At 38.4% G+C, this 27,382-nt stretch overlaps 2 long non-coding RNA genes across 3 annotated transcripts in view; one reads left to right on the top strand and one right to left on the bottom strand.

Moving 5' to 3' along the window:
* Positions 1-27,382, bottom strand: part of LOC107984782 (uncharacterized) — a 208,325-nt gene that overhangs the window by 87,020 nt on the left and 93,923 nt on the right. The window lies entirely within an intron of this gene.
* LOC101928850 (uncharacterized) lies at positions 4,633-11,360 on the top strand. The gene is made up of 2 exons (NR_187928.1): positions 4,633-4,720; positions 10,524-11,360. It is a non-coding gene; the product is annotated as an uncharacterized LOC101928850 (long non-coding RNA).

Raw genomic sequence — 27,382 nt, forward strand, 5'->3', positions numbered from 1 at the left:
ACTCAGCTAGGATTACTGCACAGAGGATACTATAGGAAATTAAATCAAGACTCACTTCCAGCAACAGACTGAGGTGTGCACCCATCTCTCCCCCACCTTTACTGTTCCCGCCCCTCCAAATTAAGTAAAGCAAAATAAAAAGTTTCAGTCTAACAAGGTCTTATTTAATGTTCCAGACTGCCTCAAAGCCATATTGATCAAGTTTCAATTTGAAGCTGGAGCCTGCAGCAACAAGTGAGATCAATAAGAGGCCTTTATTTGAATATCTCATCTGCTAAAAAAAAAAAAAAAAAAAAGCAAAGCAAAACAAAAAAAAGATTCTAACGCTATAAAAACACTAGGCTGACGAGAAAGCCAGATTTTTTCCAAAAAAATAAACTACTCTAAAAAAGATACAACCAAATATTTACGCTTGTGATAGACTTAAACATTTTTTAAAGGAGAAGAAAATATATTTTTAGGTACAAAAAAAGAAAATCACTAAGACTTGCCTAAAGCCCTTACTAATTTAGTTGCAAGGTTTACTTCTGTGTTTCTATGTTTTTTGTTTTTTCTTCATGTAACTGTAAAACTACTTTGTGTGGATGCTGAATGTAACTTTTTACATTTACTCAATTGGTGAGTGCCCATTTTGTGCCCAGCATTGTGCAGAGTGCTAAGAAGGATCTCAAAGAAATGTATGACATTGCCCAAGAGTGTACAATCCAGTGTGCAAAACAGATCATCAAAAAAGACATACGTTGCATTAAATAAGTCTAAATAAGTGATCCTAATAAGGACTTTAGGAAGCCAATGAAGGGAAGGAATAGTTTAAATTTAAATAATGAGATGTGAAGACAGATGTCTGCCACTTACTGTTTCCTTAAACAAGTTTCCAATCTCTTTGTTTGTCTGTTTCTTCATTTGTATAACAAGAAAAGTGATACATCTACATCACAGGGCTGTTGGGAAGAGATATAGGTGTCAAGAACATTGACTACTGGCTATTAGAGTTAAAGAAGGGGGATTTCTGTGCATTGAAACAAGCCGAAAGACATGGTAGAGGAGATATGGCCTGAATGGAGGCAAAATTGACTAGGTGGAGAGGGGGTGAGCTTGGACAAGTTATTTGCGTTTTCTGGGTCTCAGTTTCCTTAGGAAGATAATACATGTCATGCCTTCAGCACACAGCCTGGTTATTCATTGCTGTGAAACAAATGACCTCAGAATTTAGTCGCTTAAAACAACATTGATTTTGCTCTCTAGCTGCAATTTGGGCAGGGCTTAGTAGGGACAGCTGTCTCTCTTCCACTTGACATCAACTGGGGCAGCTTAAGGCCTAGGGGCTGGAATCATGAGAAGGCTCCCTCACTCCCGTGTCTGGTGGCTGATGCTGGCTGGACCCTAGCTGGAGCTGTCAGCTGGACCACCTCCATGTGTCCTCTCTACATGGCTCTATACTTCCTCACAATTGATGGCTGGACTCCAAAGGGAAACATTCAGAGTAGCTGCATCCTATTTTATGACCTAGCCTTAGAAGGCACATAATATCACTTCCCCATACTGCATTGGTTAGAGCCTATGCAGATTCACCAGGAGAGGAAATTGACTTCATCTCTGAAAGGGGAGTGTCAAGGATATAGAAGAACATGTAGCACTGGAAATAATACTGTAGCCATTTTTGGAAAATATAATCTGACACAGTATGCTTTCTAAAACCTTTACAGTTAGTAGTAGTAGTAGTAGTAGTAGTAGTAGTAGTAGTAGTAGTAGTAGTAGTAGTAGTAATATTGGAAAGGAGAAGCTTGATGCAAGATAGCAAAAGTTAGCAAAGGATTCCACAAATGTGCATTAATTATGGGCATAAATGTAAATAAGACATAGTTCCTACCCTCAAGGAACTTATGATCAAACAAACAATTATAACTCCATATGTTAAATTCTAGAATGTAGAACATGAAAAACTTTGTAGCAAATAAAATAAAATTACTCAGAGATGGGGAAGCCTCAGTGATGCAGTGCCCACCATAGGATTCAGGTTTTGTGGGGCCTGAAGTTTATACAATTTGAGTCTCCTGTTTAAGAAAAAAAAATATGAAATTACAAATGCAAAATCAGGCACAGCACCTTCTAAGGTGCCTGTGAAAGTGAGGACCCTTGACACTTAAGCTATAGCATCACAGAAAATCCACTCTGACGAGGCTTAAACCAGAGAGGGAAGGAAGTGAGGCTGAGAGGAAACTGACAGATTCAGAGAAAAGGGAAAGATCAAGGGACAGAGGGTCTTAATAAGGTCAAGGAGCTCAAAATAGGGAAAGACAGTAAGACAGTGGAAGGATGGGCCGCATCTTTGCAGAGGAAGGCAGTGGTGGGAAACAACTTATTTATAGTTGGGTTGGGTTTGGAGAGCCTATAGGATGGGAAAGGAATTGGGATTTTACGTCGTGAGCAACTGAAATTCACTGGAAGATGACGAAAATGAGAGTGAAACGATTTATGAAGTTTAATAGGCAGAAAGAATTGAAGAAAGGAAATGCTAGTCATCAACAATTTTTTGATGCTTTCAACCTACTTGTCAATGTCCCAGACCAGATAATTGGCATTTAGCCTTATTGTTTCTGCTAAACATATCACTGGATCATTTACAATAGCTATAAATGGTATATCAGAGTATTTTAAAACATGGGCATTTGTTAGGTATATTTTTGGCATATTCATTCTTTGGGACATTATGATGTAATTATTAAAATCATATTTATGAAAAGTCTTTACAAACAGAAAATACTTAAAATTTCAAGAAAAAGGATAAAAAAATTGTGTGTTATATATTTACCTAATTATACTTATGAATATATATGTACTTATGTAATATACTTCAGTACAGAGAAAACTACTGTAAGAATGTACCCCAAAGTGTAACAGTAATATCCTTGATTGGCATGTGGTGAATTTCTTTTTACTTTTTTGTTTTTATGTGTTTTCAATAATGTGTGTGTATTGATTTAATAATTGGGTAAAAAAAATTCATTTAAAACCTCATGCTCATTTTTCAAGGTCCATCCCCAAATACCACCTCCTTAGGAAGACTTCCGTGATGCCCGATCCCTCTCCTCCCTCCCAGATACCCCAGACTAGAGATGCATATTGTTTCCTCCAAAATCCATTAGAACTGCTTATGTTTCTCTTGCCCCATATTCATACTCAGTATTCTGTGCTATCTTCTCTAGTACCCACCAAAGAACATAAATCCCATGACAGGGAACTCCTGCTGCAACCCCATTTCAATGCCTTCAACATAGTGGGTGTTAAGTCCTTATGGAATTGAAATGGGTTCAGACTATGTTGGCAATTGCGAGAAACAGTGTCCAAGTTATTCAAGCGATAAGACTAAGTAACAGTAACGGTTCCATAAAAAGGAAAGTGCAGACAATTTCCAAGTGACCAGTGAGCATTCCATGTAAATCATGGAATAATTTACGTGATATCAATAATAATACCTTGGTATCTAGCATCTCATTTGACCTTTCCCGGAGCTCTGTGAGGATATTTTTATCCACTGCAGATGGGGTTATTTGTGTAGTGATAGAAATTCCTACCATATGGAATTGTTCTAAGATTAAATGAGATTGTATATGTGCTTGTGTGCCTGGCACTGAATAGGTGAATAAACAGTAACAGTTTTATTATTTTCTGTGATTTGTCACAGAGCTTAGCAAAGTGCTAAGACGGGAGCTGTTTAGCCCTCTCTCTTACTTTTCTACTATACCACAATAGCAGACCTAGAAAGCAACCATCTTTCTTCTCTCCTAAGGATTCCTGGTGCTTATCTGTCCCTGCAGTTGACAAGGGTGAACAGCCTCTTGAAATCTTGGGCTTTTTAATCCAATGATTCAGTCACAACTTCAGTGACCCTGATCACCATTATGGTTCCAGAAAAGACAATTAAACATTTTGAAATCTGAAGAATATTATCATATATTTAGTGTCACCAGGCCACAAACTTTCCAATGAAAGATGCCATTCTTTCTAAAATGAATGCATCTCTCATGGCCATTATCCTGATGATAATAGTATTCACTTACTGAAAGTCGATTATGTATTCTACCAGGTAACCTGCATAGGTTAGCTCCATTTAATTATTACAGAAGCCCTATGAGGTACACATTATCATCTCTATTCTTCACCTGCATTTATTGAGGCTCAGGGAGGTCAAGGAAATTGTTCAAAGTTTCCAAGCTAGTAGATGGCAGATCTAGGTCTTTCTGGCTGCAAATACCATGCTTGTTTCACGTTTCCGTATAGGAGGTAATCAATACATGCATTATAATAATGAAAGAACTATAGGAATATGTTACTATAGTAATGACCTGTATAAATATACAGTTGTGACCTTCATGTCATCACTGATTTTGCCATCTTCAGGTAGGGAGGTAGCTGGGTAGATGAGAGAACAGGAGAAAAGGGTAAAATACGGTCTTGTTCCATCAAAACTGTTCTATTTATTCATTTCCTACCAAAGAGTCAAAAATAAACATCAAAAAAACAGCAACCCCATAATCAATCCAAGTCTAGTTTAACCCAGTTCCTCCCCAGGCCCTCTATGTGGAGGATGCCCATCACCAGTTTTTTTTTTTTTTTTTTTTTTTTTTAGACCTTGACCTTCCATTTTCCTCCCTTTCCTGGTTGTTCTGCCTGTGCCCTCCTGGCACATCAGCAGTCACTGCAGGCACATCGACAAAAGGTGAGTAAACACACTTAGAATGAACAAGAAGCCAAGGGGACAAGGTCAGGAGCTGTGTATCAGTACTGTCAGCCTCCCCTCGCCCCTGCCGCCATCAGCCTTGAGGCAACAGGAACAAAAATGGGAACTGCTGAAGGGGAGAAGAAGTCTGTGGCATTCAGTGGCTCAGTTTGGCTGGATGACGTGGCGGTCCGTTCTCTTTTAAGAGGTAGCAGGCAGAATAATCGCACTGCTCCCCAAAGCTGAAAGTTTGGGTTTTCTCCTTTCGTGCAAGCTGCAATGCTGTTTCTACCACCTGCCAAGGGCCAGCTGCCAGCTCCTTTGGGAGGCATTGTTTCGTTGCAGAGAAGGGGTGGGGGGAAGACGGTGCAACTCTCGCTTTTTTCTTTCAGGAGAGCATTTTGTTCCTTCGGCTGTCAGGAAGCCTTTGTACAGACAGGTCTTTATTCCCAGGGCAGAAGAACTGGAGACAAGTATTAGACATTTGCCAATTTTTGATCACTTTCCTCACACATTATACTTTGTTCTCTTGAAATTTGTTTAGACCATGTCTTTTTTCCTGAAAAGCTTTGAGACCTTCCCCAAAATAAGGTTTATCTACAATTAGTATATAAAATAGGAACAGAGAGGAGGAAGCCCAAGTCAAGCAAAGTAGAAGCAGTAAATATTTTAATTTTGTACTGGTATAAATTTAAGGGGTAGGAGTACAATTTTGTTACATGGATATTTTGTGTAGTGGTGAAATCTGGGCTTTTGGTGTATCCATCATCTGAATTTTGTACTTTGTACTTGTTACTTTAAATGTAAAGATAAGCATTGCTGCTGTGATTAAGCTTTAAAATTTGTCTTACTTTCTTGCCAGCTGGAGCGGGAAAGGAAATATGACATTATGTAACTGTCCAACCAGGCATCAAAGAAGAGTTTGGTGTTAAATGGCCAGTTTGGGCATTTGGCTACCCCGGCCTTAAAATGTTCAGGTTACAGCCATTCAGGACATGCTGTGCAGAGCAAAACTCTGTAACTCTGGTGAGCCATTTGTATAAGCATTAGAGAGAATAGACTCAATTATTTTTTATGGAATATCTTGGCCCAGCCAAAGAACAGGTGGACAATCTTCTGTTTGGGATAGTCAGTTCTCTTAAAAGGATATTAATTCCACCTCCTTTGGAGTTGGCTGTTACAGCAAGTGGCATCATCTTTAACTGGCAACATACACTAGCTATACCCTTGATATTCGATAAGGAGTATGATCTTAAGCTTTTTATTACTCTGTGTCTATCAAGTTTATGGAAGGAAGCAGTATTTGTGGGGAGTAATCCAAAAGATTTTTAGTTTCTCTTTATCCAGATGCACAAACCCTACCACTGGACCAAGTCAGGTCAATGGAAAGTATATCTCAAGATGGTGTTGGATAACTTCTTTCTCAAGGTCTCCCCGCCCCTTCTCTGAAGTGTTTAAATGGTTTTACTGAATTGTTCCCTGAGGTGATGCCATCATCCTGGGATGAGGGGTGGTCAAAAAAACTAGTCAATTAAACTCATCACCATATCTACCTACAGGTATTCAAGTGGTCCTCTGCTGGAGAATGCTTGAGAGAAATGTGTCTCTGATACCAGGAATAGGGAGATGCCCTTCTTAGGAGGAGCTAGCTTGCCCTGATAGTTTGGACACAGTTTGGTAGAATTGATCTAATTTTCCTTTTAGAATCAGCTGATGTGAAACTTACAGGGACTCTTGGGAATCTGGGTCCCAAGTAAGAAAGAGTACAGACCTTCCTTGTACCAATGCTTGAATAAGCTTCAGTGCTAAAGTCACTGGATGAGGCTACAGGAGTTCTCACTTTGCCTCACTGTTTTTATCCATGTTGAATTTTTAATTTTGCAAGGTTTTCTTTATTTAATTAAGCTGGCTAGTTCTTTCTGGGACAAGGTGGGATATAATAAGCACATGTATTAAAAGAAAAGAGGAAGCATATTAATTCCTCAAGAGAGTTGAAGCTTTTCTCTGGCACTAAATTCTAAAAATCATAGCAGGATGACTTAGAGGCCATTAAATAGTGTAACGGACAAGGTCTTCAATGATAAGTTTTATAAGAAGTACAGAAGCAGCATTTGTGTGCCTTTTCTTTCTTTTTAAAATAAGTCTTTGATAAAAATTAAGGGCCTAAGAAATTTCTCAGTGTCCATCAACAGCAAAATGGATAAATAAATCTTAACACGTTTACACAAGGGAATACTATACAGCAATAATAATCAATGATCTACAACTCCATATGAGATGGATCTCACAATCATGATGTTCAGCTAAAGGCAGACATGAAAAGAGTACATACGGATGATTCCATTTACATAAGTTCAAAATAGGCAGTGCGTCTCTGGTGTTAGGGGTCAGGGTAATTGTGTCCCCTGATGATGGTGGTTCCCGGTAGGGGCATGAAAGGTGCTTCAGAGATGCTACTATTGTTTTTTTGTTGTTGTTGATCTGGGTGCAAGTTACTTGGGAACATTTATCTTGTGAAAATTAATCAAACTGAATACTTATGATTTGAGTACTTTTCATTATATGTTATAGTTCAATAAAATGTTTTACCAAGCAAGAGAAAAAAGATGAGAACCTACACTAAATGAGGAAAGGAGTTCATTGGAGGCCAGTCTTCCATCTTGAAATTGGCTATAATTTTTTTTTTGTTTTTGAGACAGGGTCTCACTGTCGCCCAGGCTGGAGTACAGTGGCATGATCTTGGCTCACTGCAACCTCCGTCTCCTGGGTTCAAGCGATTCTCGTGCCTCAGCCTCCCAAGCAGTTGGGACTACAGGCGCACACCACCACACCCAGCTAATTTTTGTCTTTTTAGTAGAGATGAGGTTTCACCATGTTGGCCAGGCTGCTCTCGAACTCCTGACTTCAGGTAATCCACTCACCTCAGCCTCCTGAAGTGCTGGGATTACAGGCTTGAGCCAACGTGCCTGGAGAATTGGCCGTAATTCTGATTTCAGCTTCAGCTTCAGCTTCAGCCTTCAAAGGACTGAATCACCAAATGCTCACTTTAAAGTCATTTCTGGCTTCCCTGGTATTGTTCATGACCAATGATCATACGACCAATAACCATTACTTCTAATTGTTACACTATAATATTGTCAGTGATATAAATGAGGTGTGTCATTAGATTTTCTTGCTATTTTCAAATAAAAATAGCAAGTTAACTTACATCCTTTTTGAGCCAAAGAATTATTTAAATATAGAAATTTAAATAACAATACAAGGCAGAATATTATTCAATTGTATCATAATTCTAGTCCTTGTAGAATTGTCTGGTGTATTAGCATCCATTACATATAAAATAAAACCTTTAAGGAGTGTATTAAAATTGTCATTATTTAATTCAATTTAGGCCAAAATTCTTCTAAGAAAAAGTCTTATTTATAAGGGAATTCTTCATATCTTGTGAGGATAAATTAAAAGCAGAATGCCAAATTCTCCATATCAAAATTTCATGAGGAGGAAAAACTGCACACTCATGTACAATAACATTCATAGTAAATTATCTTTGATCCAGGCAAAATGAAAAATAAAAATAATATAAAGAAAAGAGGAAATTATTAGACACAAATGAGGAATTCAAACACATTTTATTCTTACCAAACTTCGAAACGACTGACTGGACGAGACAATTTTAGGAAGACAACACTTACAGTCTCCCTCTTCCCCAACCCTCAAGAAAGCTAAACTTCTCAACAAAAAAGCTTGTTAAAATGAGGCTATACCATATACTACTAAGTATATTAAATTTTCAATATTTAAAGATGAAAAGTTTTTGAGATTGATTAATCTGTGTCCTTAAAACAAAGTTCCTCCCAGAAAATGCTACTAAAAACCTTTTTCCTGAATTATGTGCTGTTGTGAACATAAGTCTAGTAATATTATTAAATACGTCAGTTTAAAGTGAGTTTCTATGTAGTGCCGAAAGTTCCTGCACTATAATGACAACCACTACTAAAATTTTAATAATAAAATTGTCACAATGATTTATTTTAAAATAATGTATCAGACTTATTCTTAACTCCTAGAAGTTTATTCAATGATGTGATATTTGGCTTTCACTGAGTACTAATTTTAACACTAATGCAGTGTTTCATTTGGGCAATACTCGTATTTTTGCCGCACACGTAATTTAAGCACATGTAGAAAGGTGAACGTGCCTGGGGCCAAAGTCTTATGGTCAAAGTATTTGGTCTTCTGAAAGTCTCAACTACACCCACCTTAGAAGAAAATAAAATAAACCCCCCTCGGGGCCTTTGCATTGGCTGTTTGCTCTGCCTGAAGCACGTTCCCGCAGGACTTTGCATCACGAGTGCCTTATTATCATCCAGGAATTAGATCAAAGTCTCTTTTCCAGAGGCCCACTCTGACCATCCTGGTGAAAGCAGAAATGCATCTGGCCCACAGGTACTTTTTTTCCCCAGGTCCAGCACCCTGTTATGTCTTCTTCTCTGGAGATTTATCAATAATTGAAGAAACTGTTTTCTCTCACGTTTGGTGTCTTTCTGTCCAATCAGAGGATACCAGTGGGAATAGACTCCTCTCCTTCTTTCCTTTTCACTAGTACCCTGAAAACTTCTATGCAGCAACTCCCACCACTGTCTAAGTATTCCACCCACCTGAAAGAAGAAATTGTGCCGACTCCAATACAACAGTTTTAAGACCAAACAGGCCAAGCAACAAGCCTGGCTCTACCATTCCCTAACTCGATGACTTTGGACAAATGACTCAATCTCTCCTAACTTACTTGAAAGACTAATTTTTAATAGCAATGTTTTATTCATTAAGCTATGCAGTTAGGTATACAGTCATATTAATTGTTGCATATATAATGGAAATAATATTCTTTCTATGCATGTAATATTTAATTTAAAAATATGTGAAGTGCCAGTACAAGATAACATAATCGGCAAAGGCTAGCATCCTCCCTACCTCTCCTCCTGTATGCATTTTGAGCAAGCTACCTTTCCCTGTCTAAAATGTCCTCTTGACTTCCAACTTACTTTTCTACCCAGTAAGTTCCTACTCGTCTTGTAGCCCTTCAAGGAAGTTTTCCCTACCCCACTGGAAAAGCTAGTTGCTCTTGACTCCCTTCACACCTTGTATATGCCACATTAACCTACCATTACTGTCTGCATGCTCATCATCGCCACTCAACTGGAAGCTCATTCAGAGCATGCAGTATACTTAAGCCATTTCGATAATTCTTAGGACTGACCCCAGTCTCATTTATATAACAGGGACTTGGTGTTGACTATATTCACAAAGCAATGTACTGATGATTACTCATGTAATCTGGGACAAATTACTTAATCGCTCTGTACTGCATCTCAGTTGCTCCCTTTATTACCTATCTTATTATTCTATTGTACCTATTACCTATTGTTGCTCCCAATATTGCCTGTCTTATTGGTCTATTATGAAGTATAACTTTAAGAGCTCTGTAAGGGTAGAAGTTTTATGGTTTTTGTTCACTGGTGAATATCCAGTATTTTAAATGATGCCTGATACACACAGTAGGCACCTCACAAATATTTTTAGCATGATCATTTAGTTAATCCATGTAAAGTGCTGGGCACAGCACCTGACCTATACATGCTCAGTCAATATTAGCTATTATTAGTAACTCTTGCTATTTCGGTTAGCATCTGCCTCGTTGAACACACATAGCAGCTGGAAAAATGATCCCTCTTTTAAGATGATATTTCCTTGGTCATATAGCAATTTTCTTAGTCAACTGCCCCAAGCCCTTTCTTCTTCACAGACACCCCACCGCCACCTGCCTTGATTCACAAGGAGCACAACCTCGTCTGAAGGACTCCAATCCACAGAGTTAGGAACCCTCATGGGACCCTGCTCATCCTGAGCCCCCAACTAGCATGTGAGTTCCCTGGGGCTCTTTATGGCACTTCCCTCAAGTGGTTCCATCTACTTAATGAGCCTCATGTCACCTTATGAACCACTGCCTTTAATATACCCTACCCTACACACACACACACAAACTCCATATCTTCCATCTCTCCCTACCCCTACCACAACCCCTTTCCTTCCTTGCAGAATTCTGCTGATAATTTACTAGATGCCATCCTTGGGGCTTGGCTCAATTCAATCCACATGAAGTTCACAAACATGTATTAAGACAATCTATTTTTGAGGTATAGAAGGTACCCCAGGTGACTAACACAAAGTTCTTGTAGCCAAGGAGCTCAGAGAACCTGAAGATACCTTCACTGTCCTTCACAGTTATCTCAACCTTCAGCATTCCCCCAGAGAAATGCTGCCCTCTAGGAAGTTCTCTCCAAGGAATCCCACCCCTGTCCTGAGTATTTCTTTAATCTACAACTTTCCTGAGGCTGTGTATTGCACAGGGGGCGTGCCAATGGGTTCTGCACTTGTGTCCAACACCCTTGGTAAATCGACCTTTCCAGAGGACTTTGGAGCCCTTCGAGGATTCTCAGCATCTGCATCTCCCAGGAGCTCCCAGCATGCAGTTGGCACTTGATGACTGTTTGTAGCTAAGGTACTTAGGCTGATTTTATTTAATCTTTAGTATCAGGCTGATATTTTAAAAATTCCAATTTAAATAAAACAGTTTTAATTCTAGTTTTTCATTTTATGGCCTGTCTTCTTCTTGACCTCCTCAAAGCCTTTACACAAATCCACTTGACTTTTCCATCACAAATTGTGGGTTTATTGTTTCTCTGGAATTGAAGGGAGAATTTATTCAAATTTGACCTAAAGCTATAGACAATAAGTCACTAGAAACAGTTCCCCCAGACATAACTATGTCTCTACCCAGTAGAGTAGCCCCAAAGGAATTCTTACGGCCTAGTTATGTCCTCCAGGTTAGGAGGATCGGGGGTAGGAGTGGGGGGAGTTCCACACCGAATATGCTGACACTGCACTAACTATATAGCAGGCACCCTGTAATGACACCTTTGGATAACACAGAAAATGATTGTGTTCCAAGGATGAGCTGTAATGAGAGGGGAGGGTACAGAGAGCCACAGGCGGCACTGTTTCCAATCTAACAACACAACTGGGGGCAGGGGCAGGCGTGTGCTTGCTTTCAAAATAATAAATACTGCTATGGTATTTCCGCCCAAGGCTTTTGAGGAGAGGATGAAGTTGGAAGAGCCAACAGGCATGAATGGATTTCTCATTCTCCTTCCAAGGTGGAAGTGGGAAGAGCAGCTTGACCAATTTAATAGTGTATGACACTGTTCTGTCACTGACAAATCTTCTACCAAGTGTTTATAGACTTCCTCTTCACTGATGTTCTACTACTTGGGCAAATGACTGGACCTCTTTCAGCCTCAGTTTCTTTATCTGTAAAATGGGGATAAATTATAACACCTAACTCATATAACAATCACACTCAAAATATTACATACATGTGTATCTACATGCACAGGTAGATACACATGTATGTAATATTTTGATAAATGGATAGATGGAATGAACTTACACACCTGGCTCATAGTAAATAAATAGTAAAAGTTATCCCTCCCCTGTTTCCCAAGTTCCCCCAACTTTTGATGGGAAAAGAAAAAAGCAAAATCAGCCCATTTGGAATGGCAATGAAACCCAATCTTTCACATGCTATATGAAGACAAGATCCATTCAGTTTAAAGAAAGAGCTCAAAGCCGCAAAGCATCATTCTATAATCCTTTACAGAATGGTGACACTTGGCTGATTTGTCAAAAATCCTTCTACATATCCACATTGGGTACTTTTAATGAATGTCAGCTTTTAAGAATCAATGACATTGACATTACTCCATGGAGCAAATACTGACGGCCCAACTTATAAATTCCCTGATGCCAGTATTAGCAAGGCAGCAAGATGAGTTTTCTGTTCGCTGGTCTTGTTCTGCTGTCAAATTCTGGGGGACTTGCATTTCAAGCAATATATCTAATCTCTTTAAATTAAATTATCTTTCTTTTGCCAGCCAGAAATTTTTTTGGAAGAATATTATCAACTAAGTGGATCAGAAAATATGGGTTTAAGACTTGCTTCCTGGGTGAAATGATATTAAAATGAATGTTATTCCCTAGATAAATGATGTGTTTCTAGGGTCATACACTATAGCTGTTAGAAACGTTTTTAACAGAATCTTCAAATCAAAGGAGGAGGGGAATATGAAATTAGAGGGAATTTCCTTCTTCAAAGGGATAGTGGGTATAATTTAGTTTTTATCAGAACAATAACTTTTCCCTCCTGAATTTGTCTTACCTACTGATTTTTTTAACTACTGATATTTAATTGTTAGAATATGTGTGAAATATTTTTCTGCATGAAAAAGATTCTCTGCCAGGCCCAGTGGCTCACGCCTGTAATCCCAACACTTTGGGAGGCTGAGGTGGGCGGATCACCTGAGTTTAGGAGTTCGAGAGCAGCCTGACCAACTTGGCAAAACCCTGTCTTTACTAAAAATACAAAAATTAGCCAGGCATGGTGGCAGGCGCCTGTAATCTCAGCTACTCCAGAGGCTGAGGCAGGGAGAATCGCTCGAACCCAGGAGGCCAAGGTTTCATTGAGCTGAGATTGCACCACTGTACTCCAGCCTGGGTGACAGAGCCAGACTCCATGAAAGGGAGGAAGGAAGGAAGGAAGGAAGGAAGGAAGGAAGGAAGGAAGGAAGGAAGGAAGGAAGGAAGGAAGGAAGGAGAAAGAGAAAAAGATTACCAGTTAACTAGTTCACTCATAAGCTGTTTTTACACTAAAATCCCCAAATATCTACTATAGCTTTCTAAACAATTGTAACTTCTGCCCTCAGCCTCATCCCCTGCTCATATGACCTGTCCACGACATATAGTTTGTTGATGGTTATAGTCACAAATGTTGATTCCTATTTTGGTGTAGCAAATACTCTCATTGAGTTCTCTCAAAACACATACTTACATGTTTTTTTTTTTAATTGCCATGTGTTTCAAAGCTAAAATAAACTAAGTCAAATTTGCTCGAAGGCTTGCATCTAGTAAGTGATAGCAGTAAGATGGAAATCCAGTCTCCTTGACACCCTAATGTAAAGCCATGTGGAAGTCACCAGCAATTGTCATTTTTACCTTTAACTTTAGGCTGCCTTCATCAGTGAAGTCTAGACCAGAGGTCAGCATGCCTTTTTTGTAAAGGGCACAATAGTAAATATTTTAGGCTTTGTAAGCCGTGTGGTTTTTGCTGCAACTACTCAACTCTGTGGTGTAGTGCAAAAGCAACCATAGACAATAAGTAAACAAATGAGGTGGCTGTGTTCCAATAAGACTATATTCATACAAACAAGAGCAGGCCGGATTTGGACCATGGGTTTTAGTTTACTTACTCTTTGTTTAGACCATATTTGTCAATCATGGCTTGGTTAGATTCGTAACACACATTAGCTGTGTTTATACCTTATGTCCAGGACAAAGTTGTAAATTTATTGAAGTTCACAGCTGGTCTCACCTGCCTTTCCAGCCAATCTAAGTAATCTAGCCCAATCCTGAAATTACGTAGTTTCTTAAAAGATACCTGATAATTGTTTAAGTAAAGGAGGGAGGAAGGAATGTATATACCTCAAAGAGCTTCTCCTAGAAACTTCTGGTCACTAGTGTCAAAATGGTATCTAGATAGTTTTAGTTCTACAAGTGATAATACATACATCTCTGTTTTGAGCAACTTCCAAGGATTTTAGAATGTTTCACTAATTTTCCCCTGAATTCACTCAATATTTATGTGATAAGAGGTGTTACTGCTGGTAACAATAGGAAATTAGATTGCTAGATTAAAATCACCAAAATTTATTTCTTGATTAGGAAATATCAAGGGCACACATACTTTTAAGTAAAACTTGCCAATAAATGAAGACTGAGATGATATAATGAATCCTAAAAGAGATTTTACCATGTTTGAGTATTGTGGACTTATGGAAAACCCTTAATGTGTTAAGTCTTTAAAGGCAAGACAGAAAGACATTTTTATTATACTTCACCCCTTTCTCTTTCCATATCGGTTTGAAGAAAGTTGGGTTTAATGCCTGGCCATGGATATAATGTCTCAAGATATTAAATACATTGTGCAACTTATGGTAACTCTTGCCATTTTACACTTAGAAACTACTAAGTAATTACTAAATGGCAGGCAATATTAAGTCAGCTACTATCACTGTTTGTTCAGAAACTTTCTGTTCTATAATCTAGTCAAGTCCAACCCACCATTGAGAAATGGGCAATAGCGTTCACCCCACAATACAGTAAGAAATAAAATAACCTTGAGAAGGCGGAATTTTTTCTCCTATCAATGAACTTATACATTGGAGATTATAGTGCTCTGTAAGGTAATTATTTCTGAAGGCATATAATCTATCACATGTGGATTTATCCCCTCCAAGGAAAGGAACAAAGCTATTTCCTAGGCCAGGTCAATAACACAACATATGACTTCCCCATGACCAAGGAGAACATGGATGAATTTTGAAGGTGAGATCAACAGCTTTTTAAGAAGAATATGAAATTCTATATGACTTTATGAAAACATCAGCTTTCTTTCTTAAGGTAATAGAGAGAAAGCCAAGGGTATGGCAAGAATGACAGGTATCTCCATAGCCCATAGAGGAACATAAAACCACAAATCAAGAATAGTCACGGACTGGAATCTAAGCTCAAGTTTCAGATTCCAGTGATTGATACTCAATGTAGATTTTATGAAACTTCTTAAATCTGAAAAATTGCTTAGTGTGGAAACAGTACAATGTGGTTATTAAGAGATTAGGCTTTAGCCCCAACCAACCCTTCGTTTCAACTTTGGTTTGGTTTCAACCTTTCAACTTTGAGTGCATGTCCCAGCTCAGTGCAGTTTCAGCTGCGTGACCTCTAATAAATTACATGAGCACTCGCAGGCTCATTTTATAAATGACGCTTTAATCTAAATGAGAGGGATAATCACAGTACTCCCCTGAAAAGGTTATGAGAATGAGTGGAATGATGCATCAAAAGCACTTGTCCAATGCCTGCAGCACAGTAAGCACAAACACTCAACATATGGTAGATTTTATGAGTTACTTGTAACCAGGGTGAAATGAGGTCAACCAAAATTTCTGTAACACCAAAAGACTACATAATGCTTCAGGGCATCTCCTCTATGAGACTGACCTGGCTGTGTCTGCCAGTGCTTATTTCTCCTTTTCTGACCATTGACAATTTATGCATCAAGATTTTATTGAGCATCTGCTATATTCTAGGGGCTATCCTCATCAATGACACCTCTGTTAGCCTTGAGTACTCAGAGTTATTAACTTGGAGAGAAAGAAAAATAGCTAAAGGCAGAATGTACAAAGGCTCACAACAGAGATATGAACACAATGCTACTGAAGGGAGAGTAGAAGATCAAGGAAATCTAACCAGGAAAATCATAAACAGCTATCTGGAACAGGTGATGTTTGACTTGGGCACTGAAGGATGGATAAGATTTTGACAGACGGAGATAAAGTAGGAAGCAGTAAATTCCAAATTGAAGGTTCAGTTGTAGAAGGGAGCAGAAGTAGGCAAGTACTGGGTCCACTTAAAGTCCAGTACATTGGGTGAAAAGCTGGGAATAAAAGAATGTTAGTAGGAGTGGCTGGAAAGGCAGGGTGGGGCCAGAGCATGGACCCTAAGTGCCAGGCTGACTCAGAAGAATCCGCTCTCTAAGAGGTTTGCTTTCTGAAGAAACACCCATCAGTGTTCAAGCAGGATGAAGAATGAGACAAGGCCAAAAATTTTAACATTGAGAAGCCATTGAGCAGAGATTCTACAGAATAACAGGAGTGGAAGCCAAATGCAATAGACTGAGGAGTTAGAAATTGGTAAGGAAATGTGTTTTGCCTTTTTTGTTAAGAGTCTGGCTCTTAACAAAGCCATTTGGAGGGTTAGAGGACAGGAGACATGTAGAGTTTTTTGTTTGCTTTGTGTGAAGGAAAAGTAGGACTAAGTATATTTTAGTCTGAAGGAGGAAAACCAGAAGAGGCTGCAAAAAGAGAAAGAAATAACATACAGTAGAACTACCTCCCATAAAAACATACCTCGTACTAGCCATTGAAACTTCCTTATTTTCAAGAGTTTAAATTCTGCAAGAATGAAGTTATTTCTTCTTCAGACTTAGGAATGAAATCAGGATGGCGAGTGAAAATATTGAACTATTCTATGGTTAGAAAGGGGTAGGTTGAGAGCTGTTGAGTTTCATAGACTTCAGTAGTAAAAGTGATGGGTCTCAATCTGCTGAGATTACAGGGACTGAAAATAGAAAGACGAGTCTGGGAAGCCTGAAGAAGGGCTGATTCAGTCACTATGGAGAATCCAGCAGGTGGCTGACAATAAATTTATGGATCCAGAGGCCAGCTGTGGCAATGTAGACCACCAATATTTAGTGGACCACATTACCACTGCTTTCATAACTTTTTCCAGACATGGGAGATAAGAAAGCAGGCAATAGAGGATACTCAGATTGGAAGCTGTCAAGAGGACAGGTGGACATTATTGGTACTGAAAAGGGGTAGGGAGCAAGGAATTCTACTAGAAAAAGAAGGCACAGATGGCCATGGGGTTTTGGCCAGAAAGGAAGGGAAGAGGATCCAGAAGAGCGGTGATGGTGTAGGAGAACAGGGAGGGCTCAAGGGACTATGGTCTCAATGCTGAAGACTAACAAGTCTCATATGGGTGAGGGAATAGAGAGACGTGGAAGGTGATGGAGACTGCCCAGAAAAGGAAAACTCAGGCTTCTTGATCTTTTCTGGCCCACAAATTTTTGGTACTGAGAATGCTAAAATTTTAGGTGGTCAAAACCTGCTTGTATTAATTTCTGTGCTTAATATATACTATCAAATATGTAAATACTTTTCAATGTAATAAGATGACAAGTTTCTTGAGGGCAGGTACAGCCAATCCTTTTTTTCATAATGCTAAAATATGTAATAGGATAAAAGTTTATCATCATTGACCATTAATTATTGATAACTTGAATTTATGTTCATTGAAAATCATAGTGCTTGCCTTCTCAAAGCCACAATTCCCCTTTTCTGTAACTGCCAAAACTTCTGCTATGAGAGAAGAAATTAGGACATCACCTAGGCTCCTTCAGAGGCGACTGAACTCCATTTACGGCACTTAGGATGAAAGATATGCTCCTGGATTGGTAGAACATCTCTTAGTAGTTTTAACCCATCTAGGGATTAAGGAACATATATTGCTGTAATTGAGCATGGATTTTAGAAACCAACAGCCCTGGGTTCTAGTCTGAGCTCAGCCACTTATGTACATCATGACCCTCTGTCATCTACTTAGCTTCCCTAATCCTCGGGTTTCAATCTGTCAAAAAAGGTATAACTCTCATGGGATTTTTGTATAAAGCATTTACCATGCAGCCTTCTACACAGTAAGCTGCCAATAACAATGGTGGCTGTGTAGAAACATGTACTTCAATGCATGTGCTACCTGAAAGATTTAAGCAAAGTTCTAGAGAATTTTTGCATGAGAAACAGAAATCTTATATCTCTGTAAGTCTTAACCTCTTTTTGCATCAGTTTCTTCATCTGAAAACAACAACAACAATAATAATACCTACCTCAGAGAGATGTCATGATGATTCACTGAGCTAATATTTGTAAACTGTTTAGAACAGTGTCTAAGGTTCTGGGCATCAGCTGTCATTTGTAGTTTCCTCTCTGCAGGAAGATCTATGAGCCTAATCATGTTAGAGATAAATGAGTAACCAGCATTCTGTAAGATCTGGACTACAAGCCAACCTCTCAAAATAGCTTGTCTGAACAGGCTGCCATCTTGTTACCTGTATATAATAGTCTAAAAGAAAATTACAAATTCTTCTCATTATTAACTTCTTTTCAATTTCCACCAAAGCCATTCTGGCTCCTCTCCCAAGTTCACTGCACATATCTCCCCAGTTCGTCTTTGCCGGGCTTCAGTGTCTTGCCCTACCATGGTAGCAGATAATCTGTGTTTGTGTCTGACAGTTCCAAGAAAGATGAGCAGTTCTACCTTTGAAGCTCCTTCTGTTTCTCAAACATGGGCATATTAGTGGGCCCATGGAGGGGTATAGTTGAAAATATCAGAATGCTTGAGTTTGGGTCCATTCTGCAATTTTCTAGTTGTGTAACCTTCGGCAATTTACTTAGCCTTTATGGACCCCAGATTTCAAATTTATGAAATGAAGATGGTGCCCGCAATAACTAGACTTACCTCAGAGAACTCCTTTGAGTTGCAAATGAGCTAATTTGTATAACAATATCTCACAGATGTAAATTATTACTATCAACATTCTCACTATTCCATCTTATTTTTAGAAAATGGGGCATGTTTTGTTTATTAAAACAAGCAAAGTCCATCCAACACAGTGAGAAAAGTGAGCCACCCTCAGCCATTTCTGTGGCAGGATGGTAAAGTAGACAGTGATCATTCCTGGTTCACATCTTCCCACTTCTTTTTACTTCCACCTCAGAGAAGGTGGAAGGGGATGCCATCTTCAGCCAAATTGGCCCAAAGGACTATCACAATCCATTAGTGGAGTGACAACTGCTGCTGTTGGGTCAACCTCAGAGCTGAGTTGTGAAGTTACATAACAGGAAAAAGAATAGAAAATAATTTGAAGGATTAAAGAGAAAAGGGAGGTTAGCTTCTTTTCATCCCTGAAAGAAAAACTACACAGGCTACTCTTATCAAAATTGCCAAGTAGGCACATTTCAAAGAGGAAACACTTTACTACTTTATCCACTCTCCTTCCACTCCCATGCCTCAGCCACCTTTCCATTCCATGTCTTGGCTCTTCCTGGATTTTTCTGGCTCCCAGAACTGGGTTTTTCCATAGGCAGGCCAAGCATATGTTTTTAGAACATTCATGAAGCAGGGACAGTGATATAAAATGCTATGGAAATATTATATTGTAATGGAAAAAAGTCAAAACTGAGTTCAAGAAAAGTGACATCAGCAGATGGTGGAATAGAAAGTCCCAGCCTTTGTTCCTCCATAGAGACCCTAATAAAACAATAATATATAGACTAAAATACATTAATGAGAATTCCAGTTAACTTCAGTTAAGAAGTCACAGTGCCCCAGCAGAGCACAAAGATGAAGAAAGCCACATTGAAATGGGTAATAAGAGCAATTTCACTTTATCCATGTCATCCTCTCCCCCTAGTTGGCATAGCTTAGTGCTGGGAAATAAAATCCCTGCTTGTGACTTCTCCCTCTTCAGGGAAAGAGAAAACAACTATGCATGCAACATTGCAGTTTTTTGGAGGACTGCCCAAGGGAATGGTTTCTGTTTCACTTCCCTCAAAATCCTCATGGAACCACATAGTTTGGATGCTTGGTGGCTACTGAGAACAAAGGAGAGTTTGTTCTTTGTTTGTTACTTTACAACCACAGAACTTGCAGTACCACAGAAAGGTACCAGAGGAAGCAGAAGATTATGAACCCCTGAAAAAGAAACTGGCAAGCCTCTCTGAGAAATTGCCTGCAAAGGCCCAGAGAAGTCACACAGCCCCAGCCCCACCCCCAACAAAAGATCCAGAGGCCCTCAGAAACTCTAGCCAAGATGATCAGTGAAGGTCTTCTCCTACACAAAACATATACATCAAAACTGGGAGAGATGGCAGTATTTTCAAATGTGCAAATCCCACATAAAGTTATGAGATATATTAAGAAAAAGGAAAACATGACCCAAAGACTGGCACAAAATAAGTCTCCAGAAACATCATAAAGAAACATAGGTATATAAGATACCCGAAAAAGGATTTGAAATTACCCTTATGAAAATGCTGTATGAGCTCAAGAACACTATTCATGAACAAATGAGAATATCAATAAGGAGATAGAAAATATTTTTAAAAACAAACAAAAATTTTGGAAATAAAGAATGCAATAACTAAACTGAAAAATTCACTAGAGGGTTTCAATGGCTGACTTGACCAAGCAAAACAGAAAAGAATAAGTAATCTCAAAGATAGGTCATTGGAAATTATATGATGAGAAAAACAAAAAGAAATAATAATGAAAACAGATAAAGGAAACCTAAGGGACTTATGTGACACCATCAAGTGGACCAATGTGTGCAATATGGGAGTCTCAGAGGGAGAAGAGGGAGAAAAAAGTGTAGAGAACTTCTTTGAAGAAATAATGGCCAAGAACTTTCCAAATCTGGGGAAAGAAATGGACATACAGATTCAAGAACCCCAAGAGATATTGACCTAGGATGAAACCAAAGACATTCACTCAAAACACATTAGTCAAACTGTCAAAAGTCAAAGATAAAGATTGAATTTCGAAAGCAGCAAGAATAATGTGAGTATTCATATATAAAGACACCATGAAATTATCGGAAGATTTCTCAGCAAAACTTTACACAATGGTAGGGAGTGGAATGATATATTCAAAGTTCCAAAAGAATAAACTGCTAACCAAAAGTATTCTGTCTGGCAAAACTATCCTTCAAAAATGAGGGAGAAATGAAGATATTCCCAGATACATAAAATCTGAAGGAGTCTGTCATCACTAGACCTGCCTTACAAGAAATGTTAGAGAGTCCTACAAATGGAAACATACAGATGCTAAACGGTAACACATGAGCCTACGAAAATATAATGTTTGCAGATCCAATAGGCATATACAGAACACCGAATAAACATTCTTAAGTGCACATGGAACATTCTCCAGGAAAGACCACATGTCAGGTCATAAAACAAGTCTTAACAAATTTAAGAAGACTGAAATTATACCAAGTATATTTTCTGATCACAATGGAATTAAACTAGAAATTAATGGCAGGAGGAAAACTAGAAAATGTGGAGATATGTGGAAATTAAATAACATACTCTTGAACAACTAATAGGCCAAAGAAGAAATCAAAAGGGAAATTAGAAAATATTTTGAAACAAATGAAAATGAAAACAAAACATACCAAAATGTATACAATACAGCAAAAGTAGTGTTAAGAGGAAAGTTTACAGCAATAAACACTTTCTTCATCTGTTTGGGCTGCTACAATAAAATGCCATTAACTGGGTGGCTTATAAATAACAGAAACTTATTACCCACAGTTTTGAAGGTTGGACTGTCCAAAATCAAGTCAGAGGCAGATTCTAGTGAGAGTCGGCTGCCTCCTGGTTCATAGACAGCTGTCTTTTTGCTGTAACCCCACATAGTGGAAAGATCTCTGGGTCCTTCCACTCTTTGGGTCCTTTTTTATAAGGGCACTAATCCCATCCACGTGAGTTCCACCTTCATGACCTAATTATCTCCCAAAGTTCCCACCTTCAAATACAATCACATTGGGGATTAGGCATCAATGTGTGAATTTGAAGGAGCCATAAATATTCAGTCTATGGTGAACACCTACACTTAAAAGGAAGAAAGATCTCCAATAAACAAACTAACTGTACACCTCAAGGACATAGAAAAAAAAGAACAAACTAATCCCTAAATTAAGATAAGGAAAGAAATAATTAAGATTACAGCAGAAATAAAACATAGAATAGGAAAAGCAACAAAACTAAGACTTGTTTTTTAAGAGATCAAGGAAATAAAAATCTTTGGCTATATTAACTAAGAAGAAAATAAATAACACTCAAAATCAGAAATGAAAGAGGAGATATTACAACTGATACCACAGAAATTAAAAGAATTATAAGAAATTACTATCAACAATTATACATGAAAAAATTGGATAACCTGAAAGAAATTTATCAATTCCTAGAAACATACAACCTACCCAGACTGAATTGTGAAGAAATATAAAATCTGAGCAAACCAATAATGAGTAAGGAAATTGAATCAGTAATTGGAAACATCCAATGAAAAGGTCAGGACCTGATAGCTTTGGTGATGAATTCTATCAAACATTTAAAGAAGAATTAATGCCAATCCTTTTCAAACTCTTCCAAAAATGTGGAGAGAAAAGAACGTTTCCAAATTCATTTTATGAAGCCAGTATTAACTTCATATTAAAAGATAGAAAAAGACTCTATAAGAAAAGAAAATTGCAGGCTAATATCCCTGATAAACATATTTGCAAAAATCCTCAACAAAATACTAGCAAACCAAATTCAACAACACATTAAAAGAATCATATAGCACAACCAAGTGGGATTTATTTCTGGGATGCCAAGATGGTTTAACATATATATAGAAATCAATGCATATTATACACCACATTAACAGAAGAAAGAATAAAAATTACATCACATCAACAGAGGAGAAAAAGCATTTGACAAAATTTAACACCCTTTCATGACACAAAAACAGTCAACAAACTAGGAATAGAAGGAAATTACCTCAATATAATAAAGGCTGTATATGAAACGTTCACAGCTAACATCATATTCACTGGTAAAAACCTGAAAGCCTCTGCTCTAAGATCAGAAAGAATGTAAGGATGCCTACTTTTGCCACTTCAATTCAACATAGTACTGGAGGTTCCTATCCAGAGCAATTAGGTACAAAAACAACAACAAAAAGGCATCTAAATTGGAAAGGAAGAAGTAAAATGATCTGTTTTAGAAGATGACACGATCTCATATGTAAAAAACCCTAAAGATTCCACACACAAAAATCTGATAGGACTAATCAACAAACTCAATAAGCATACCAAAGTCAGGATACAAAATACACAAAAATCAGTTACTTTTCTAAACACTAACAGTGAGCAATCCACAAAGAAAGTTAAGAAAACAATCCCATTTACAAAAGAATCAAAAAGAATAAAATACTTAGGAAATAAACTCAACCAATAAGATGAAATTCTTATATGCTGAAAATTATGAAACCTTGCTAAAAGAAATATTAAAAGGCACAAACAAATGGAAAGACATCTTGTGCTCATATATTAGAAAACTTAGTACTGTTAAAATGGTCATACTACCCAAAGTAATCTACAGATCAAACGCAATTTCTATCAAAATCCAATAGCATTTTTAACAGAAATAGAAAAAAAAATCCTAAAATTTATATTGATATCCACAAAGGACCTGGAATAGCCAAAACAATCTTCAAAAAGAACAACAAACCTGGAGGTCTCATAACTCCTGATTTCAAAACATATTACAAAGCTAGAGTAATCAAAACAGTATGGTACTGGCAATAAGACAGACATACAGCACAATGGAACAGAATAGAGAGCCCAGAAGTAAAGCCACGTATATACAATCAACTGACCTTCACAACAGTGCCAAGAATATACAATGCAGAAAAAACAGTCTGTTAAACAAATGGTGTGGCTAAAACTGGATATCCATCAACAGAAGAATAAAATTGGACCCTTACTTTATACCATTCTCAGAAATCAGACCAAAATTGATGAAGAACTTGAACATAAGACCTGAAACAATAAAGCTCCTAGAAGAAAACATTTCTTGGATGTGACATCAAAAGTACAGGCAACAAAAGCAAAAATAGAACAATGGTACTACAGCAAATTAAAAGCTTCTTGCTGCACAGCAAAGGGAACAATCAACAGAACAATGAGACAATCTATAGAATGGAAGATATTTTAAAACCATATATCTGATAAGGGGTTAATATCCAAAATATGTAAGAAACTCCTACAACCCAAAAGCAAAGCAAACAAGAAGCAGACATCTTGATTAAAAAATGGGCAAAGGACTTGAATGGACATTTCTCCAAAGAAGACATACAAATGGCCAACAGGTATGTGGAAAGCTGTTCAGTATCATTAATTATCAGGGAAATGCAAATGAAAAGCACAATGAGATCTCACCTCACACCTGTTATGATGGCCACAATCAAAAAACAAAAAACAAAACAGAAAATAAGTGTTGGCAAGGATGTAGAGAAATTGGAATGCTTATGTATTGTTGGTGGGAATGCAAAATGGTGCAGCTGCTATGGAAAACAGCTGAAGTGTCCTAAAAAAAAAATAAAAATAGAACTACTACCATATGCAATCAGGATCTCAAAGAGATATTTGTACTCCCATGGATTGCAGCATTATTCACAATAACCAAGAGGTGGAAACAACCAAATGCCCACGGAAGAATGAATAGGTAAAGAAAATGTGGTATATACATACCACAGAATATTATTCAGCCATAAAAAAGGAGATTTTGTCATATGCTACAACGTGGATGAACCTTGAGGACATTATGCTAAGTGAAATAAACCAGTCACAGAAGGACAAATACCGTCTGATTTCATTTACAGGTATCAAACTCACAGCAACAGAAAGTAGAATGGTGGTGGCCTGGTGATAGGGGAGGAGGAAATGGGGAATTGCTGTTCAATGGGTATAGAGTTTCAGTTATGCAAGAAGCAAAAGTTCTAGGGATCTGCTCTGCAACATTACAACATTGTCCTTATAGTTAGCAATAATACACTCTACATTTAAAATTATATGACAGTAGATTTCGTGTTTTCTTCTTACCTCCCAAAACCCCCACAAAACTCTTTTTTTGCTTACACTTATTGTCTAGTATAGGATGCTCTTTATTTTGCATTGCATACTGAGGGCAGGGACCACTGTATTTTCATTGCTTGGGGCTTCCATGTGTTAAAGCATTGCCTCTGGCCTGCTTCCCCCACCCTTTAGGCCCACTGGTCCCTCGGGGCCTTGCTTCAGAATGCTGAAGCTGATAAATAAGTGATGCCAAAGCATTTGTGACTTCCAGGGCTTTCTGATGGGAGCCCTACCCAAAAAACACTCTTGAATCTCAACAGGTGACTTCAAAGGCACAAATAGGTAAAATCAAGGGAGAATTCCACATACATTATAGGTCAGAAAAGTAGATACTTGTAGGGACAAATCTTTCCACCTGCCCCAAATCTTATTGCATTAGTGGCTGTGGTTAATCCTGGAGTCTGTCCTTACAGACTATTTTCACTTAACTCTCCAATAACAAGTTGGCCACTGAAGCTGGTGGGTAAGGGTGGGGGAAACACATGATCTGAGTCCTTTACTTCCACTGGATCTTCAGTTATCCACAGAAAGTAACCCTAGGCACCTTTCCAACTGTGCTGTTAGTTTATTTTCTTTCTATAGTCAGTACCCAAATATACAATTTTTCCTCTTCTTAGTTTGTAAACGGTCAGTCACTAGGGGGAAAAAAGCACAGTGATTACTAATGGGAGATGCCACTAAGGTTCCAGCTGTGAACAGGAGAAATCCAAGATGACCCATCATCTAAATGTCAACGCAAACACCATGCCATTCAGAATGAAACAAGGAAGCCTGCGTGCAGACAGCCAGAATACATTACCAATTGCATATTTAGCTCCAGAATTTGTGAATCTTTGCAAAGAAATTTAGGGGCTTCTCACTTGATTAAATAGCCTGTGATGGAGGATTCGGTTGTTCCCCACAATAGTTGCATGCAAATGATAGATTCACATGGACTACAGCATACAGAGCCCTTAGGGGGCTGTACATTTTTAAGTAATTCTGCCATTGTTTTTGCATAGTAATTGGAAACGTACATTCTGTTGGAATGTGATTCTTATTAGAAGAGAAGGTCGCTGCTGTCTGCTACAGGATTCTATTCATTTAGGGTCAGCGGGACTTAAAAACAGACGAAGAATCTGCATTTATGCACTAAATGAGGATCTGCCTTAAACCCCAGCAAGTTTCTAGCCTGCATTAAAAGCTAACTCTCACTCTCTACTTTCATCTGCCTCTTTTCCCAGCTTCCTAATATTTATTTAGCCTGATTCTGCTTTGTGAATAAGTGACTCCCTGATGACTGAGTAGCAACTAGAGTTAAATTAGTCATGTAAGAGCAGCAAATTAGTAAATGGCACCCCAGTTACCAGAGAGGAGCTATATCATTCTGTGTGTTTAAAGTACTATTACCATCTATCTAGGAGTCAGGAGCTGTCCTGTGCATACAATGAGTCCTCAGTGGTCCCACTCACAGTATGACACAGGATTTGGCCAGGACGGAAAGCTGGGGGGCGGGGCAGCCAGTCATTTATCTATATCCTCCCACTCATTTCCCCTGTACCCCTCAGATGTTTGGGTGAAAGGTGGCCTAGGTCAGGGTCACAGAACAAAGCTGATGGTCTCATAGGAAAGATCAAGTCTGTGATGTTGTTAAACTCTGCTAACACAAATGAGGACACTCAGCCAGTCATTTAGAGGAGGAAAGGGAACAGCATTTCCTCACGTTCTTGTTATGTGAAGGATGGGGCTTGGGCCAGCAGCACCTGCATTACTGAGGAGCTTATTTCTTAGACCTAAGAGCGATGGTCTGTAGCTCCTCCTCAGACTTCCTGAATTGGAATCTGCATTTTCACAGACCCCAGGTGGTTTTAACACACACTGATGTTTGGGAAGCACTGTCTTACATCTCTAAATGTCAGCACCCAAAACACAGAGACCCCATGAGTCTTAGTCAATCCTATAGTGGCAGTACCTGAATCAGTGCCTGGTGCATAGTAGACACTCAAATATGTGTGGAGTGAATTGAACGGGAATGAAGAAAGAAAAGGAAAAAAATCTTCATGGCAACATAAAATAAATTTCGTAGCAACAATAAAAAAAGGAGGGAGGAGAAATCAAGTTCTAAAATAAAAATGAAAATCAAAGAAAGCAGCCAGAAAGCATCCAGGGAGATGCACCTGGCTGGTGGAGATGGGCTGTGGCCCCACCTG

This window comes from Homo sapiens, chromosome 15 (genome assembly GCF_000001405.40).
Source record: "Homo sapiens chromosome 15, GRCh38.p14 Primary Assembly".
Lineage (NCBI taxonomy): Eukaryota > Metazoa > Chordata > Mammalia > Primates > Hominidae > Homo > Homo sapiens.